Below are 18,818 nucleotides of genomic sequence, written 5' to 3'. Positions count from 1 at the left end.
GAGCCACGCATGTGGCATCGCCACCACTGTGGGACTGTCCTGAAAGCACGTGTGATGCTGGAAGACCCTTTCCCACTTTCCGTCCATCTGCCATGCTGCCCCCGTTTCCTCCCCCAGACAGAGGCTGGGCCTGGGGATGGGCTTGGAACAGCCATTCTAACAGGGACCCAAGTCCCAGGCTGGCTCTGGGCTTCCTTAATGGGCTCTCATTTTGTGAAAGTATGAAATACTCTTTAAATGTAGAAAAGTAGAATAACTCATGGACACATTTTTACCCACTGCCCAGAATCTGTGATGTGACTGTTTTGCTCCATTCACTTCAGATGCCATTTTCATCAAAAATCCCTGAAAAGCCATGGCACGCCTACCCTGTTTTCACTCTGCCTTCCATCCGGAGTCAGCGCCCATCCTCTCTGAGAGCTCTTTGTGGTTTTACTCCCTATGTATGTTTGAAGGCCTTTCTCAGCATACAGATGTTGTCTGTACGAAGGGAGGCCGTTCATCTGCACTGAACACGCCGCATGAGCACACAGGGGCACAGGACACAGAGAGTGGTGGCAGGAGGTCAGCAGCTTCACAGTAATGAGCAGCTGCATCCGCTCCCCCAGTGAGGGGCTCATCTGTTGGTGTCACATTCCACAGGCACGCCGACCTCAGTGTCGCATTGCAGGAAAGCTACTGAAGACTGTTTCCGGACTATCCACGGTATTCAGTGTGGAAAGCCAACCTCCCTGCTACCTTTGGCCAGGTGGTGTGTTTGCTCTCAGTACTCGTTCAAGGGTTATAATGACACTTTTGAGTCGTGGGAAGGACCTGCAAATCCACACGCCATACAGGAAAACCAGCGCCGAGTCCTGGCCTCATCTCCCACACACACACACGTGCTGTTTTACAGTACAACGTTCAGATGACGCAGAAGCAGCCCTTCCCACAGCAATGGAGCACAGAGGCATTTTGTTCTGTTTCCTTCATTTCGACTGCTGTGTATTTCAAAACACGACAGCTTTGCCATGGTGGGCTTCCGCTGTGCCTGTCCTCTCACCTTCAAAACGAAGTTCACTCTTACAGGCATAAGGAGCAAGAACAGTGACCCTTGCCGCCCAGAAGTACCTTACTCTGGAGAGGACACGTTGGAGACCAGGCACTGTCCCTGCCTACAGGCGAGGCCATGCAGTGCATCGGGCAGGGGCCAGGGAGAGAAATCGGGGCTAACCCGTCACTCCTGGGGTCCCACATCGGTCACTGTGTCCAGAACCCTCAGGGCTGTGGCTGGACGCGCTGCTCAGACCCCTCCGTGCCTCCACAGAACGGCCACTTGGCCACACATCCCTGGAGGATGCAGCTCAGGGGAGCCTCATGAGGAACCGTTTCACGTTTTAAAAATACAGCTCCGCTTCTCCTGCTGCCTTCTACTTCAGGAGGATCAGTCAGGTGTATATTCAGCTGTTCAAGCTTCCTTCGGCCGGGCTCACTTCTATTTAAAGACTGTAAGTCACGCCCGCCTTCCTCCCTCCTTGGTGCTGGTTCTTTGCTAGTAGTGTTTTGCTTTGTTTTTTAAAACCGTGTGAATTTTGTGGGGGAGGTACTGTGTTTTCTGGGAGCTCCCTCAACTCTGTGACCTCACCCACGACCCTTTCCGCGTTTGCCTGGAAGTTCCCCTCTCTATGCTCAGCAGGGACCCTGAGGTTTCAGGAGCTGTCTCTCACCCTCCTCACGGTACAAGCTTGCTGGCAGCTCCTCCAGCTACCTGTTCATAATGACTGTGTCTTGTTACAAATCCTCCTGTACCAACCGCCATATCCAGCTCAACTGTACAGAAGCACTCCTGGCACTCAGGACACGCTTCCGGGACAGAAAGCGGAATGGGCCAGAGCAGGGCGGTCTGAGTGGACTTCCCCTCTTGCTGCAAAGTTCTGAGAACACACAGGGAGGCAGCGGCCTTCTGGAAGCTGCAGGGCCCCTTCTAGGCAAGCTGCCAGTGCAGGGACGGGACGCTGGTATTGGACCAGGTAGATGCTGGTCCAATAACAAGCAAAGCCAGAAACATCAGAGGCCAATCCTGTTCCGTTAAAAGGTGACCTTACAGCGAGGAACACAGATGCTTTTTACCTTCATTCATTTTTAAGGATTAAATAACTACAAAGTAATGTGACTGATTTTTACAAAAGTAAATGATGAATATTTGCACATCTGAAGGAGTGTTTCCTTTCAAGTAGATTCAAGTTGTACTCACATTTCTCTAAACATTTTAAGAACTTCACCTGTACACTGACTTGAGACCAGTTGAATAAAAGTGCACACACACACACACGAAGAACTTCTCCCTGGGAAGGATGGGCGGTAACAGCTCTCCAGTGGCCATTCTTCTGAAACACCCTTGAAGGCCAGAGCCCGGCTAGAGCAACTGATCTCACCTCTCCTCCCGTTCTAAAGGCTCCCAAAGGTGGGGCTATGCGCCACCTCCCCACCCACCCCCACAACTCCTACTTAGTACCAGACCTCGAGAACTAGGAGCGCTTGACAGTCCATCTGTTGAAAATGAATTGAGGTTATAAAGATCCTGCATGAAGAAACCCCCCCACAGAATGGCAACAGTGAACATTACTTTCTCATAAATCCACCTGCCAGACAGGATGGAGCGCAACGTGAGAAGGAACAGCGGCCGGGTGGAGTGCACCAACAAAGACGCTGCACCAGGCCAGAGCAACTGACGGCTCACGCTCGATCTTCCTCCTCCCCGCCACCAGTCCCAATCGGGGAGGCTGGCAAAACCTTTAAAATCACCCCAGAAAACTACACAGCATTTTTCAAAATAGCATCAGGGAGTTTGGGAGCTTAAACCAATCCATGGATCCATAGGGGACACGACATTTTTCAAAACAGCATCAGGGAGTTTGGGAGCTTAAACCAATCCATGGACCAGGGGACCCATGGTCACCAGCCTGCAGCCTCTGCAAGAGAGGAAAGTGCCACATCATAACTCCGGATGTCGAACACCACAGAGCAAACCCGCGATCCACATGGCGCTTTTGCAGGGACAGGGAGCTCCCTGCTGAATCTAACATCGGACAGCAAACCCACAATCCACACGGTGCTTTTGCAGGGATGGGGAGCTCCCTACTGAGTCTAACACTGCACGGCAAACACTCAACCCACACGATCCACACAGCACTTTTGCAGGGACGGTGAGCTCCCTACTGAGTCTAACACCACACAGCAAATGCACATTCCACACAGCACTTTTGCAGGGACGGCGAGCTTCCTACTGAGTCTAACACCACACAGCAAATGCACAATCCACACAGCGCCTTTGCAGGGACGGCGAGCTTCCTGCTGAGTCTAATACCGCACGGCAAACGCACAATCCACATGGCGCTTCTGCGGGGACAGCGAGCTTCCTGCTGAGTCTAACACCACACGGCAAACACACAATCGACACGGCGCTTTTGCAGGGACAGGGAGCTCCCTGCTGCAGCTGCTCACTGGTCTCAGGTGGTTACCACGCTGCCCGCTCTGCAAGCAGAGGTTGCTGGGCAGTGCTGCCTACACTCTGTCAATATCAAGTAACACACCAACATTTCCAACACTGAATTTTAGAACAGTCATTCAAGCAGCAGAAGTCCTATGACTATCGACTGAGAATGAGAATTTCTGACTTAGCTTCTCGATATAATTTAGAAGTGACAAACCAAGAGAACCGGAAGAAACAAACACTGAGAGTGAATTTGAAGCCATTTGATGAAAACTCTGAGGGAGGTATTACAGGCAGCCCCATGGAGATGTGGTTCATGGATGTACCTGGGTTTTGTCAGCATAAACGGTAAGGAGTGAGCTGAGATGAGCAGAGTGAAGGGACGTCATTCACCGGCTGCAGCGTGGCACTCATGGGATCAACATGATGGATGTGATACCACATAGACCCACTCAAGATCAATGCTAACAAGAGACTGTCGGTCCACCCTGGATGAATCCAGACGTGTCGGGATAGAAGCCCTGCCAGTCCCAGCACCAAGCACGGTGCCCACTTTCACCTTCTCTGTAAATGCAAGACAGCACCATGCTCTTACCTGACGCCGGAAAAAAGCCCCAGAGAATTCTGACTTGAGTTCTATCTTCAGACACATACAGAATTAGCACATTTTAAATAATTTGTTTTAAAAGTTTCTTTTTTAATCTAGAGGAACAAAACACTATTGATGGCAAAACAAGTTTATCATTTAAGCTCTCTGTTTAAGGCATTGGGCAAAAAGATGTCCCATGGAAAAATGGTTTCACTGAGGTTAACTAGGTGCTTTTCCATAGAGACGTGATAAAAAAAAAATCAATGCAGGTATGCAAAACACAATCATATACGTTTTCAAGTGTGTTTCAAAGTCCCCTTAACTGGAGATATAACACCAAAGACCTCCTTGAATTCAGAATAAAGAAAAACATTTACTCTCCAATGTGGCATATTTCTTTTTAATAGACAATGAGAACTTGTCCATACTCAGTGTTTCTCCTCTTGCTGTGGCTGATAGGAAGCTCATAGTTAAATCCAGGGTGCAAATGCAATGATAAACTCACTCCAGGTTATTTCCTCCACATAGTATTTTAAAAATGGGTTGAATCACCCTGCTTTATGCTTTTTTCACATTGCTAACTGAATCAATCTAAGTTAGCTCAGCATAAATCATAAATAATAAGATGAATAAGAAAATATAACATTGCATGGAATACATACTATTTTATGGATCAAAGTCACCTTTAGCTATTTAAATACAATAAGGCCATCTTAATTATGAATAAATTCTAAGATTGCTAGCATTATAAAATACATGAAGGTGTTTTTGTTCACAAAACCACAATATAAATTTGATTGCCAATCAATGTTTCCAAATAATTTAAAAGGATTTTTAAAAATCTTTAACAAGGCATCCAATTTGCTCTTGAATAAAATGTTAATGAATCATGTCAGAAATGATTTCTCTGTCCCCATGTCCCCTCTCCCTCGGCTCCTCCCTCTCGCTCTCCATACCACCCCCCAGAACAGCTCTTTTGGGAAATCTGGGTTTTGGTACTTCAGTTATTTGTGGAGAGGGTTTGATACAGACGCATACCACTTTAAATAGGACGAGGATTTAAGAGTCAGAAATTTAAGAGATTACAAATTGTAATAATATGCTTGACGAATTAGCCTACTAGGCAGATTACCAAACAGAATGACTATTAACATCAGGGGAATGAGAAAAATAAAAGCGGTCCCAAAGCGAATTAGACCTAATACTCCTTACATCATGTTCTGCAAATCCAGGTGAATATGCAAATTCAATCAGAAAAGGTTAAACGTTCTCACGTGGTTTCCTTGCTTCTGAACATGTCAGAAACAAAATAATCTGAAAAATTCATGCATATTTAACCTATGAAAGGTTAACTGAAAGTTCCCATGCATCGTGTTTTTTAAATTGTTCTACAATTCAGGGGTAGAGCCCAAAAAGTGAATAAAACTTAGCCAGTCGTTCTTTGGATTTTTTTTTTAATAATGAAGAGAAGGTAATGATTTTTACACTAAGATTAAAATCTGCAGTCTGAACAATGTTAGGTAATAATAATCATAAATCATGTGCAATGCTAAGACATTGCCAAAGCATTCTGACTCCTCTCCTTTCACCTTGGGAAGTTCATGGACAAGCACTGCCTCCATGGGGAAACTGAGTAAAGACATCACAACGCTGCCCAGCAGTGTGAGCAGGTGAGCAAAGAGCCGAGCTGGAACCACCACCGCCTCAAGCTCTATGACTTCCTGCACGCCAGCTCCACACACTCAAGAGACCAGCACTGCCAAGTCCTGATTTGGTTAACTGGAAACGCAAAACTGAGCTCACTGGACCGGGAAGACGGAATCCACTTCTGACTGGCCAGGTGCACGGCCCGAACCCGAAGGAGCCCCAGCTGCACGTGGGACAAGTCAGTGATGAGCAGCCGACTTGGCCATGTTAGTCAGACAGCATACAGATTCTAGAGACTGGATCACCTCTGCAGACTTGCCATGTTAAACCCTGAACCTGCTGATGGTGGAGCTTACGCTGGCCCCACAGCTAGCATGAACGTGAGAGTTACCCTGGCCCCACGGCACGAACGTGAGAGAAAGCATCACTTACTTGGTTTCGCGTTAGCAACCACGGCCAGGCTCTCCGGCGGGTGAACGGCAAGGTGCCTGCTGTGCTCGCCCGTGCCTGCGCTGCTGCCATACTCGATGGCGTCCACATGTCCCAGTGGAACGCTCCACTTCAGCAAGTACCTCTGGCTGCTCATCACACGGCTGTCATGAGAGGGGCTGAAACGACCAAAAGATCCTTGTTTTACGAATAATTACATGAACACGTTATGGTAATGTTCATCCCTCAGATGTTCAAGTGAGAAACTTCCCACTGCTGAATTGTAACTCTTCAGACTTTCTCACAATAGTAATTGTGCTTCTGACTTTCTTACTGAGTCCCCACTTGCTGCCATAAAGAGGCCTCGAACTGGATGAGAGAGAGTGCAGGGAAGAGCCGCACAGGGGACGGATCTCCCGGAAGCTCCGAGGTTTTCCATAAAGGCTTAACAGGAAGCAGCTCGGTGCTTGCTGATGACTCTGAGCAAAGGTGCTCGATTACCAGGAAAAGTCTCCTATGTGGATAGAGATATTCTCTGGCGGTTTCATAAGAGTTAACTCTCAAATTGCTGCTTTATTCTTTTATGGCTACACTGTAACCACTTTAATAGAATCAAATCATACCATTACACTCCATGACTAAAATATTTATCAAGTATACGGAAATTGAACCGAAAAAAAACCCTATGACTTATACAGATTATTTTCTTCTTTTATCATAAATAGAACATATACGTGAAGAAACACAAAACACATATGTACAGTCTAGTGGAAACGACCTGCGCCAACATCTGTGTAGCGGACTCCAAGGCCAAGGCTGTGACATCGCCAGCATCCCCGCAGCCCCAGGAAATCCCACCCTCCAGAATCAACCATTATTCTCACTTAGTGATCATCACGTTTTGCTTTTCTTCAAGATATTGCCGTTAAAAATCAAAGTGTGGGCCGGGCGCGGTGGCTCACGCCTGTAATCCCAGCACTTTGGGAGGCCAAGGCAGGCAGATCACAAGGTCAGGAGATTGAGACCATCCTGGCTAACACAGTGACACCCCATCTCTACTAAAAATATTTAAAAAATTAGCTGGGTGTGGTGGTGGGTGCCTGTAGTCCCAGCTACTAGGGAGGCTGAGGCAGGAGAATGGCGTGAACCCGGGAGGCAGAGCTTGCAGCGAGCTGAGATCGAGCCACAGCACTCCAGCCTGGGTGACAGAGCGAGACTCTTTCTCAAAAAAAAAAAAAAAAAAAAATCAAAGTGTGGGTAGAAATAACCAAAATGCCGGGTGCTATGCATTGGACTGAGCACCTGACTGGCTGGGAGCCCGTCTGCACCCAAGCTCTCCAGTTCCTTCTTACACCAGAGCACTCTGCCCTCCATGAGGACATCCAGTCCATACAGGAAGGGAAAGGAGGAAGAACAATTCAGACACAGTAAGAGGAAAGATGGGTTGTGTTCCGTGAATTAGACTGTGCCTCCAATTTAGAAAAACAGAAATGCCCATGAGTTCTTACCAAAATTCCGATTCCTCCTCTTTGAATGTAAAAATCTCCATCCCTACAGAGGAGGTTTAGAATCTTAATGTTCACAGGGCCGACCAAAGGGTCCTTGGGAGCTATTTGAAACAAAATGCATTCTCATCTCATCACCTTCGGGCACTGTCGCTGAAAATCTCACACTGACAACATGTCCATGGGAAAGGAATTGCGACTCACCACTGCACTTCGCAAAAAAAGAAATTCAAGCCCTGGCATCGTGGGAAAGGCAGGGGCGTTATTTTAAGGAATCCTCTAGCAGTAAGCACAGCTGAGTTACTTTTAAAGTATCCATTTTAATTCATCTTTAAAGTACACCACGTCTGGCAGCGGGAGAATTTTAAACGTACTTAAAACTGCCCAAGAGTCAAGTGTGTCCTGGCGCTCCCCAACAGCAGCCTGAGGGGTTCTGGAGCAGCAGTCAGTGTCAGACAAACATCAGTGATGAATGCGGAAAAGACTCAACAAGGACCATTATATTTGCTTAGGACTTTGCCGTTTACAAGGTCATTTCACTTCTATGATCTTGTCTCCCAGGGCAGGTGGAACAAGCATTAATGTCCCCAACTTGACACATCGTGTGGGCCAACTTGCAGGTGAGGAGCTGGGTGGATTCAGCCACAGTGGGGCCACTTCACTGAAAACTAACTTTCCAGGTGTTACATGGAGAGGGGGGTTCTGGGACAGTTAAACTTGGAAGCCATACTGTTAAGTGATAAACACCTTTAGTCTCCACACTATGGGAAGCACCTCATAACACCAGGGAAACGGGTGGAGACACCTTACTCTGCATCCTCGCAATTCTAAGCATCCTCTAGAGCAGCCCACACCTGGAGTTCTCCAGCTGCGACCTCCCACGGCCTCACTCCGTCAGCTCCTCTCCAACGCAGGGTGCAGTGGGCTTCACTTCTGCACACAGAAGGCAGGTGGCCTGCGGCTGTCGCCAGGCGTCCACAGTGAAGGCCAAGCCATGGGGTATGAGTCAAATGAACAGGGTTCTTTCTCTTACAAGAAGGAGTGTCATTAAAGACTCACATATTTTTTGGACTTATTTTGTAGCTGCCACAAAGTCACTGACGATGATGAAAAGCAACAATGAAAACCTGTCCCTCGCAGGCAGTGCCGTGTGCCAGGTGCCCTGCAGCAGCTTAATGAACGTTCTCGCCTTGATCCCTGAAGAGACCCGCAAGAGCGTACCACTGGCATTATTTTTATGATCAACCCTATTGCACGGATGAGGAGTCCGAGGCAAAGTCAGAGAGGGTAATTTTCAGAGTTCAGAGAAGGTGGATGTGCAGTTCACACTAAGGAGTCCGACTCCTGAGCGCTGACCTGCACACCCTCGCTGCCTGGGTCTCTAAGGCAAGGTGAGGAGGGCAGGCAGATATATCTGGCCGCTGGAAAATGGGGGCGACGGGCATGAAAAATAGGGCATGTTTAGTGGTGTGCTGGCAAACGTTTAACAGCTGGCTCTCACTGGGAGGACAGGCTCCTAACACATCGTGTTGGGCAAATTCCATGCTGTAAATGTTCCCGTGTGGATGACTTCAAGCTACCAAATGTTTAGCAACTGGATCTCAAAACTCTGGAAGATTCAACACTTGACTCTTGCAAGACATGACGAATTGGCACCACGTTCGCTTGCATTATTTTCTACAGCACCAGGAGTGTTATAGTTAACTTTATATCAGTTCCCTTATCATCTACCTGTATTTGAAGACCTTTTAGTTTCTCACATATCCTCATCTCACTACAATATTCCATGCATTGGAGAACGATTCTGATGTAAAACTATTTTAAGTGAAAATAACTCATTTTCTTGGTTTACAATAAATATGAATATACCCAACTTTATTATATTTAAACATTTATCAAAAATATATTTATAGAGAAGCAGGTAAAGAGAGAATTTAAACCATAAGAAAAAGAACTCTTGATTTAGGAGGGTTATGAAGAAATTCAATTGAGTTTCTAGTTCCGCCATCAGCCCTGTTTAAAGAGTATATAAACCTCTACGTACTTCTACTAACAGTGACTTGGTGACTTACACTGAATCTATTTAAAAATAAGCTTGCTTATTATAAGGGTTCCCTTAGTCACAGGACAGAGCTTTGGCACAAAAAACCAGTTCAGTCTGAGTGACAGAATTAACAAAGTCATGCATGTGCCCTTAGGCAAAGGTAACATGTGATGATGGTAGGACTACTATAGAGAATTTATGCACTTACCGTGAGCTGACGGTGGCACACATTAACACATCATTTAACATGAAGACTCGGCGTTCTTTGGTTTTAACAATCTCTCCTCTGTCGTTGTAAACTGTTTCTATCATATCATCTGATCGAATGAGGTATCGGCTTCCACTGCTGAGAAGCTGGACATTCAAAACACAGCCCAGGGACCACAGTTCAGTTTACCCGGAAAAGAAAAAGATGAGGAGAAGTCTGGTATGGAGTCTCAGGGTGACTTTTCCAAACTGAGCGCTTTACGGAAATCGTTCCTATGTTCCCCGTGACTGCGCTGAACATCCGCCTCCTTCCTCACAGACTTTCACCGCAGTTGGCCCTCCCGCGATTTAAACACTACATTAACCAGGAACGGTGAGGAATGCAAGGAATTGTTTTGTAATTTTACTTTTCCCCAAGTAAACCTAATTAAGCATAGTTAAATGACTATCTTAACTTCTTAAAGGTAGGCCATATTTTACTTCACTGAGCCAAAGCAAAACCATCAGTTCTTCAGAAAGACGCTTTGTATGAACCAAGACAATGGTATGCGATGTAGAAGTCACACTACCTTTTTTGTTTGTTTGTTCTGAGACCAAGCCTCGCTCTGTTACCCAGGCTGGAGTGCAGCCGCACAATCTCAACTCACTGCAACCTCCACCTCCTGGGTTCAATTGATTCTCGTGCCTCAGCCTCTCGAGTAGCTGGGACCACAGGTGTGCACCACCACACCCAGCTAATTTGTTTCTTTTTGTATTTTTAGTAGAGACGGGGTTTTGTCATGTTGGTTAGGCTGGTCCGGAACTCCTGACCTCACGTGATCCACCCACCTCGGCCTCCCAAAGAGCTGGGATTACAGGCGTGAGCCACTGCACCCGGCCAATACTTATAACAACTCAGCCCACAAGAAAAACAGAGTCCTCAGCCCCGGTGGTCTGTGCTGTCTTTTGATTCTAAACCTACGCTGCTGCCCAGCTCTGAGCAACCAGCGAGACACCCGCCTCCCTGAATGTCCCTGCCAAGTGCACGGGAACGATGAGGCATGTGGGTGACATTCAGTGCGAAGCATCATCCCCTCTTCCTGGGCCTCTGGGCTTGCTCCGTGCCCCATGTGTATTCGGAGGTTCAAGTGCCACAGGGAGCATGATTTTAAATAACATGAACCATGTCAAGAATATAACTGAATACAATTTGCTGCTTATAAACGTTCCTACATAAACCACTTGGAGAAATGGGGAAAATATGTGGCTTAAAGTGTATTACCATAAAGTTCGCACAGTTACATTACTGAATGTCATTGTAACGTAAGAAACTACTCCTAATGACAAAACAATGATTTGTAGCAATAATGATTTTTAGCAATAATGAATATTAGATGCAATAACTTAACACAGTTCATACAAATTACCATCTCCCTGTGAGCCAGGGCCTTCAGTGAATACGGGAAAGCCCACATAAATTCAGAGTACTGCTGCAGACAAGTAGTTATGTAAGCATCAAGCTGAAATGTAGCCTGGCAAATGAACTGCCGCCTTCTGGGTCCTGCATCTCTTTTCACGCTCAATGCAGCTTAGCCCATGCATAGGTGAAGACAAAAAATGTTTGTGAATTTTTTTTTTTTTTGAAACAGGGTTTTGCTCCATCACCCAGGCTAGAGTGCAGCACCTCAATAACAGCTCACCACAGCCTGGACCTCCCAGGCTCGAGCAATCCTCTGGCCTCAGCCTCCCACGTAGCTCAGACTATATAGGTGCATGCCACTGTGCCCAGCTATTTTTTTTTTCTTTTTTTAGATATGGGTTCTCACTATCATGCCCAGGCTGGTCTTGAACTCCTGGGTTCCAGCGATCTTCCCACCTCAGCCTCCCAAAGTGCTGGGCTTACAGGTGTGAGCCACTGTGCCTAGCCTGTAAATATTTTCAGCTTTAACTATTACTATCTGAAATTAAATACCGTTATTTTGAAAGGAAAAGTAAGCTAAAGGAGTTGCTCTTAACCCCTTGGGAGGTCCTGGATCCATTTGAGGGTCTAATGAATGTATGAATCTCTTTCCTAAGAAAATGCTGTTAAGACAGGCTGTTAAGGTTTTACATACAATTTCCACATTGGTGTGACTCTCCCGAAGGCCTCCATCCACCCCGGTTAAGAACTCTGGGCGAAGGGAATTACTCCAAACGATCCAAAAGATTAGTATTGCTGGACAACGACAGCTTATTAGCACAAAGCAAAAATAATTTTGGAATAGAGTTGAAGAAAACCTCTCTCAACCTTGTTCAGGTATCTTTCGTTTATGGCTTTGGCTATTTGCTTCACTTCACAGCGTTGATCAGCATCTCTCTTTCTTTCATTTAACTTCTCTGCTAGTGTTTCGAGCTCTGTCAGGGCCATCTGAAGAGGCAGCCTGTCGGGGTGGCCTTTGGAGGTGTTCTTCAGCATGTCCTACAAGCAACAGGGGAGAGGTGGGCAGTTACCACGTGGACACTCCCAGTGCAACAACAGTCGCGTCACCCGCCAGCTGACAATGGAAAGGAGGCAGTGGCATCTGCCATCCTGGGGAAAAATAAAGTCAGTTCTTGGGAAGGGATGATGAGCTGAGTGAGTCACGACTTGGCTGAACATCTGAACAGCTTCCTTTGCAAAAACAAAATTGAAAAAATAGCACTGTACAATAAAGGACACGCTAAATATGAACATATCACAATCTCAGAAATACTGTGCACTTGGAACGATGCTCACGATGATGATAGATTCTCCTTCTCAAGTTGAGTCAGACAGATGAACCCATGCACAGATGGGTCCAGCTACTTTCTTCAAAACACCAGTCTCCCAGTTTCCAATGTGCAGGAGTACTGTGGTGCCGAATACTGCACCCATGGTGTCAACTCACACAGCAGGATCGAGTCTCTCTCACAGTGACAAAGGAACCTGATTTTAGGGCGGCAAAGATGCATGACACTATCGTGGTGGGTCCATGTCACTAAACGTTCATCCGAACCCACCGAATGCACAGCACAAGGGTACGCCCTCCTGCGACTGTGGCCGCTGGGCAGTGGCTGCGTGGCCACGCAGGCTCCTGGTTGTCACAAATGCACTCTGGTGGAGATGTGGGGGGAGGGGGCTATGCATGTTAGGGGAGGGGTAGATGGGAAACCTCTGTACTTTCCGCTCAATTTTGCTGCGACCCTAAAATTTCTCTTAAAAAGTAGTCTTTAAAAAAAGGGAGTTGAGCTACCTCTTCTCCCAGTTAAGGTTTCAGACAAGCACGAGGAGGTCAAAGGGAGGGTATGTGGCACAAATCAACAACAACAGCCAGCAAAAAATGACGCACTGCTGCCAATCACAGGATAAACGTTAACAGGCAGTAACAAAAGGACATTTCTGTCACCTTGGTTTTATGCAGGGCCTTTTGTTTCCCAGCTTTCGTTCACATTCGACACGCTGACGTTTGCTGAAGGGGCAAACGTGAACTTGAAACACTCTTTCTCAGAATTAAATGTGGTTCTGCAATGAGATCACATGGACACAGGGAGGGGCGCATCACACACCGGGGCCTGTTGCGGGGCGGGGGGTGAGGGGAGGGAGAGCATTAAGACAAATACCTAATGCACGCGGGGCTTAAAACCTAGATGACGGGTTGCTAGGTGCAGCAGCCCACCATGGCACAGGTATACCTATGGAACAAACCTGCACATTCTGCACACATATCCCAGAACTTAGAGTGAGAAAAAAAAATGTGGTTCTGCGTCTTGCCTACCATCTTTGACATGTTTATAGGAATATTAGTAGTCATGGAATTCAACAGCGTGCTTATCTTTTTAAACCTTTTTTTAAAATCTGGAAAGGACATTGCATAAATGATTAAATGTTTCCAGTTTGTAATGAATATAAACTATTCTATACATTTGTTTTCCTATGAGTCACAACGAATTCTATCAAGGCAAAAAAGAACAATCTTAACACTAGTTCTGCACCAAACCCACACACTGGTGGTGGCACCGGGGACTAGGCGTGCGATGGAGACAGCAGCCAGCACAGGGTGGAGTCCGACATGCCGTGGGGCCACTGAGCACAGCCGGGGGCATCCGCCGGGCTGGCAGCCACCCAAGGAGGCTCAGGGAAGGAGAAAAGTGAAGTTTCTCGCTGCTGTTATTATCAGAAATTGTTACTTATCTTTGCACAACAACGGAGAGAAATAGGTAGCTGGGATAAAGACAAATGTCACAGGGCCAATGGATGTTTCTGGATCCATGGGAGAAACTGACAGTACCAGCATAGCCAGGGTGAGCCGGTTTCACTGCCTGAGCCAGGGGACAGCTGTGGCTTCACAGCACCTGTCTTAGAAAGAAGGTCTGGGAGCACTAACCAGGAAGAACGCAGGCAAGACCGGAGAGCAGAGACCAGGAGAGTCACTGGGAGGAAGGGGACAGAGGGTGTCCAGGCCTCTCCACACTGTCTCCCCATCCACCTACACTCAGCACACGGACTACGGCAGAAGGCAGGAGGGAGGGTATGTGCTTGTACCTGCTGACTCTCTGCAGCCTGTCTCCTCGCCCCATCCCGGGTGCCCTGAGTACCCACACCTGAGGTAGGGCCCCTCAGGCACATCCACACAATGACTCCAGACACAGACACCACCTTGTTTCCAACTCTGCCTCTTCCAAAGTACGTGGACCCACCCTGCTCCCCTCCGAGAACACTCTAGGATACGCCAGCGTTTCATCAAATGTGGGCAAAAAGTGTCCCTGAGGGAAACTGCTCGGCACATCTAGGATCTGCAGTTTGTTTTGTCAGATCAAGGCAAAGACCATTTTCTCCTTCAGGGGCAACAGACCCTGTGTGGGAAATTCTAAAGAGGGTCTCTCGAGGCAAGGAGGGAGGAGGACGGGGAGAGCTGTGTGCAAACTGACCTACGTAACTCTGCTGGTGACGATCTGGAAGAGCACACTGAATCTTTCTAAGTGCAAGTCTTTTGACACCCAAGTTCTTGAGTTTATTACATAACTGGAATTCTGAGTTTAAGAATGTCCTTCCTCAGAGAACTTAAATATTTAGAAGTATGTTTTCAAAAAAGAAAAGTGTACAAAATTCTTACAAGAACAGATTTGTAAACGGCGCAGTGTGTAACAGGCAGGCCATGCCCGTCCGACAGCGCACGTCTGCAGTGTTCCATCTGCTGCTTTTCCCAAAGTCCTGGCTGGCATCCTTTTGGGGTGTGGACAGTGTACTAGATTTGTGGCTAGACAACTGTGTTAGAATCCCAGCACATCTGTCGGGCTGTGTCACCATGGGAGAATCATCAGCTTCCCTAAACCTCAGTTTCCTAGAGCGTAACTCAGTTTCCTAGCGCATAAAAAAGGGACAACGACCTCCCCAGGACGGCTGAAGGTGGATGGAAACGTGGGAGCTGCTCGGGCTCCTCAAAATCCCGGTAGAGGCTTTTCCCTGCGGTTCTCTGTCCTGTTCCGTTTCCAGCAGCCCGCCCACCCCTTCTGTCTAAAAGAATGTATTTCGGAAAAAACCTAGGCAAAAATAGTTACTTACTTACTTACTTGTAGTTACTTACTTACATTTAACCAAAACCTAACAAGCTTGTTTGAAAATTATATCCAAATTTAATAAATTTAAAAAATTTAGAAAGTATTCTGATAAATCATAGAAAGCCAACAACGTGTGTGACCTCACAACACAGTCAGCACTTGCTGTCGTCCCTGGCGACCAAGAACGACCCAGGGACTCACTGGCGCATCGCTAAACACAGGGCATGTGGGCTGGTTCACCCGCCCGTATGGTTCACAGCCTGGTGACACTCTCCCAGCTGTGGCTGAATAACTAATGTCTAACAGGCGGCCTGACCCCCTTCCTCCCAAGCGCCAGACTCCCTCACACGAGGAAGCTCATTCATCACGTCTGTGGCTGCTTGCCGGAAGCCAACAGCGTCTCGCACGTATTAGAACTCAGTACATATTTGTCAGCTAAAGAAATAAAACACACTTTGAATATTTTGATCTTGGGAAAAAACAGCTTTTGTTATTAATGCTGTAATACAGGCAAACTGCACATTGTTAAAAATATAAGCCAGAGGATAAAATTAACATGAGCCATCAACCTAACCATGGAAAGAGCCCATGTCGATATTTTAGTATGTATCCTTTTTCATACTTTGATGACTACATTTATTTAAAAAGAATGTGCCATGGATTTGGTTGGTCAAAAATAAAAATAACCTCAATGGAAGGGGACTTCACACTATTTCCCAGGCGCCAGTTCATTTCTGGCGATGACTCCACCAGTTCATCTTAATCGGCTCTAATAAGCAGGCAGTCCAAGCAAAGTCCTCTGATTTAATTAGAAAAAGCAAGCTGAGCAATCATTGAAAAATCAACACAGGCAGAAACCAGCATAGACTCTCCTTTGAAATATCCTCCCTGGAGGCATGGCATTCATTTAAATAAAATGGGTGCTGAGCCCCGCAGCCTACAGGGTCACCTGGGCTCCAGGTTATGTGGGAAGGTCGGAAAACGAGCGGGCAACCACACACTGCATCAGACGTGACCTAGAGGCCGTCCGCTGTGAGACGTCACGTCAGCACTCAGAACAGGCCTACTGTTCACAGCCACAGGTATCCAATTGAGAATCCTTAGTTTAGAGAAATGAGGGTCCAGTGGACAGTGTTTTCACCATCGCAGCATCTCCCTGTCCTCGGTGATTTGCTGTTAAATCAGTGATGGGTATGTTTTGTTTAAATCTATTCTTAGCTTTCCAAGCTTGTCCATCCCCTCTGGGCACAGAGGCGAGAATCATTTTTCATGTGATCCTAGACCAGACACAGACACACTGGAGAAGGGAGCTGTGACCTGTGGGCCACTGATAACCAAGCCCCGCGGCCCCCCAGTGCTGGGGCCCTGTGAGAGCACGTGAGGCAGGCCAGGGCCCACAACACCCCTCCCCGCAGCCCATCCCCTCTGTCCCCCAAGGCTGGCCTCGCAGGCACTGGGCCCTACAGCTGCCCCCGGCGTAGGGTGACTCTCCGCAGGTCTCCACCTGCCTCTACCCTCCACCTCCTGTAACTGCCTAGAGAGGAGATGAGGAGGCCCGAGGGGCAGCCATTCCAAAGTGGAGGAACAGACGCCATTTTCAAATGAGTCATGGGCGAGCCAGAGGACTAGCTTGAGGAGGTCTCCGTGAAGCACTTACCTGGAGCAGGAGGATGAACTGTGGGAACCTCTGGATGGGCTTCATCATCAGGCTGTAGAGCGTGGTTCGATCGGGGCTGGCCTCCTGTTCCTGCTGTGGGGGAAGGCACCGGGGTCACCTCCCTGCAGGGCTGCCATGCCCTCCCTGCCCCTGGGGCCGCCTCCTCCCCACCACACTGAACACTCGGGAAAGTCAAAAGCCTGCACCTTGTCTTCAGCTACAAGAAGAAACTTGGCCAAATACCTTCCAGCCACTTTCTGCACCTGCTCTAGGGGCTTCCGCTTTGCTGCAGGGGCCCGACCTCACACGTTGGCCTCAGCTCCAGGGGTGAATTCCCCGGGCCAGGGGACTGGGCAGATTCCAGGGGCTGTCCTTGGGTGTCTGTGTTCTGGCCATAGTGGGCCCCCAGAAAAGGCTGGCAACCTCTTCCGGTGCCATGGGCAGAAAGACGTCCTGGAGGCTGACGGCTCCTCTCCCTGAGCACATCAGGGATGTGCAGTGGGGCCATTTGCTACCAAGGCTGTTGGGCAATGTTGACCTGGGGGGAGTCTCCAGGTCCCTCTGCTGAGGGGGCTGTGCAGTGGAGAGGGCAGACAGCACAGACCTGGCTGTGCCTCGGCCTCTCAGCTCACAGGGCACCCGACTCTTTGGGGCTCAGGTCCTGGAGCAATGAAATGGGATGAGAGAGTCTATCTCCCAAGGCCACGTGGCAGCCACCGAGCTGAGGAGTGGGCACTGCGGTCACGGCCACGGCTGGCATCCTTAATGGGAGTACAGCAAAATCCCCAGAGGGAGTGAGCTCTTAAGTGAGTCCATGTTTTCTTTCCCCAAAAGAAAGAGATGGTTCCCTAGCCAAAGGACAGAGGCCACAACTGTCCACAGTGGGAACTGCAATCCGATGCCTTAGGACAGAGCCCACAACTGTCGAGAGTGGGAACTGCGATCCGATGCCTTAGGACAGAGCCCACAGCTGTCCAGAGGGGGAACTGCGATCCGATGCCTTAGGACAGAGCCCACAGCTGTCCAGAGGGGGAACTGCGATCCGATCCCTTAGGACAGAGCCCACAACTGTCGAGAGTGGGAACTGCGATCCGATCCCTTAGGACAGAGCCCACAGCTGTCCAGAGGGGGAACTGCGATCCGATCCCTTAGGACAGAGCTCACAGCTGTCCAGAGTGGGAACTGCGATCCGATCCCTTAGCAAACCTCCATGGGCCACAGACTGTGCTCCAGGAGGAGCAGGAGCCGCCGTGCTGGATAAGGCAGAGGGAAAAAATTCCAGCTTCAATGACACGTTGCTGTGGGCGAGAATACTTGCCCTGTGTTCACTCGCTCCAGGTAGCAGCAGTTTCCAAGAAACAGTCCAAGTAACAAGAACACACTTTGTCCCCGGGGTTTATCATGCAAATGAGGGGCTCCACAAAGGAGACTCAGTTCCGCCGACGTCTTTGAAGGGGGTTTCAGCTTGGTTCATTGTGCAGCAAACTGTCAGAACACAGCCTCGGACACGCATCCCACGACTGGGGAAGCCCTGCCTGCCTGCTGATTAAATAACGCTAACCCACACCCATCAGGGGACGTGCTCCCCATCACTGCCAGGTCAGAGACCCCTGAGGAAGGCCATCAGTGCTGTCCTCAGCATTGGGAGGAACACAGCCTGCGTCCCCCTCGGGTAGGGCCCGCTCCAGGCTCTGACTCTCCAGGCCGGTGCCTCTCCCCGATCCCAAAGAGGC

At 48.3% G+C, this 18,818-nt stretch overlaps 1 protein-coding gene across 22 annotated transcripts in view, besides 4 other annotated features; it reads right to left on the bottom strand.

The window, feature by feature from the left end:
* ARHGEF10 (Rho guanine nucleotide exchange factor 10) overlaps window positions 1–18,818 on the bottom strand; it is a 135,313-nt gene that overhangs the window by 43,031 nt on the left and 73,464 nt on the right. For 19 of the 22 annotated variants that reach the window (XM_047422452.1, XM_047422450.1, XM_047422454.1 and 16 more), the window contains 4 exons: window positions 17,086–17,178; window positions 12,160–12,330; window positions 9,895–10,040; window positions 6,141–6,316 (listed from right to left, as the gene is read on the bottom strand). In XM_047422452.1, coding sequence (XP_047278408.1) covers window positions 6,141–6,316; window positions 9,895–10,040; window positions 12,160–12,330; window positions 17,086–17,178 — 586 coding nt within the window. The remainder of the gene's footprint in view (window positions 1–6,140; window positions 6,317–9,894; window positions 10,041–12,159; window positions 12,331–17,085; window positions 17,179–18,818) is intronic. The other 3 variants (NM_001438092.1, NM_001308153.3, XM_047422451.1) reach the window with 1 other exon arrangement.
* Window positions 3,218–3,820: an enhancer, noted in NCBI's record as "H3K27ac-H3K4me1 hESC enhancer chr8:1859957-1860559 (GRCh37/hg19 assembly coordinates)". NCBI's record gives its function as "activates a minimal SCP1, AML or CMV promoter by ChIP-STARR-seq in naive H9 embryonic stem cells {active_cell/tissue: H9 hESC(naive)}" and the evidence as "EXISTENCE:reporter gene assay evidence [ECO:0000049][PMID:30033119]".
* Window positions 7,026–7,127: a silencer, noted in NCBI's record as "fragment chr8:1856650-1856751 (GRCh37/hg19 assembly coordinates)". NCBI's record gives its function as "represses an EF-1alpha promoter that drives an FKBP-Casp9 reporter gene in an ReSE screen in phorbol 12-myristate 13-acetate-treated (for megakaryocytic differentiation) K562 erythroleukemia cells {active_cell/tissue: K562(+PMA)}" and the evidence as "EXISTENCE:reporter gene assay evidence [ECO:0000049][PMID:32094911]".
* Window positions 8,136–9,335: an enhancer, noted in NCBI's record as "BRD4-independent group 4 enhancer chr8:1854442-1855641 (GRCh37/hg19 assembly coordinates)". NCBI's record gives its function as "activates an origin of replication core promoter dependent on BRD2, P300/CBP, MED14 and CDK7 cofactors, and independent of BRD4, by STARR-seq in HCT116 cells {active_cell/tissue: HCT116}" and the evidence as "EXISTENCE:reporter gene assay evidence [ECO:0000049][PMID:35650434]".
* Window positions 17,914–18,208: a silencer, noted in NCBI's record as "tiled region #1960; K562 Repressive non-DNase unmatched - State 12:CtcfO". NCBI's record gives its function as "represses a minimal TATA promoter and a strong SV40 promoter by Sharpr-MPRA in K562 cells {active_cell/tissue: K562}" and the evidence as "EXISTENCE:reporter gene assay evidence [ECO:0000049][PMID:27701403]".

This window comes from Homo sapiens, chromosome 8 (assembly GCF_000001405.40).
Source record: "Homo sapiens chromosome 8, GRCh38.p14 Primary Assembly".
In the NCBI taxonomy this organism is placed as follows: domain Eukaryota; kingdom Metazoa; phylum Chordata; class Mammalia; order Primates; family Hominidae; genus Homo; species Homo sapiens.
Note: the sequence above shows the minus strand (reverse complement) of the source record. Positions and strands in the feature narration are given on the sequence as shown.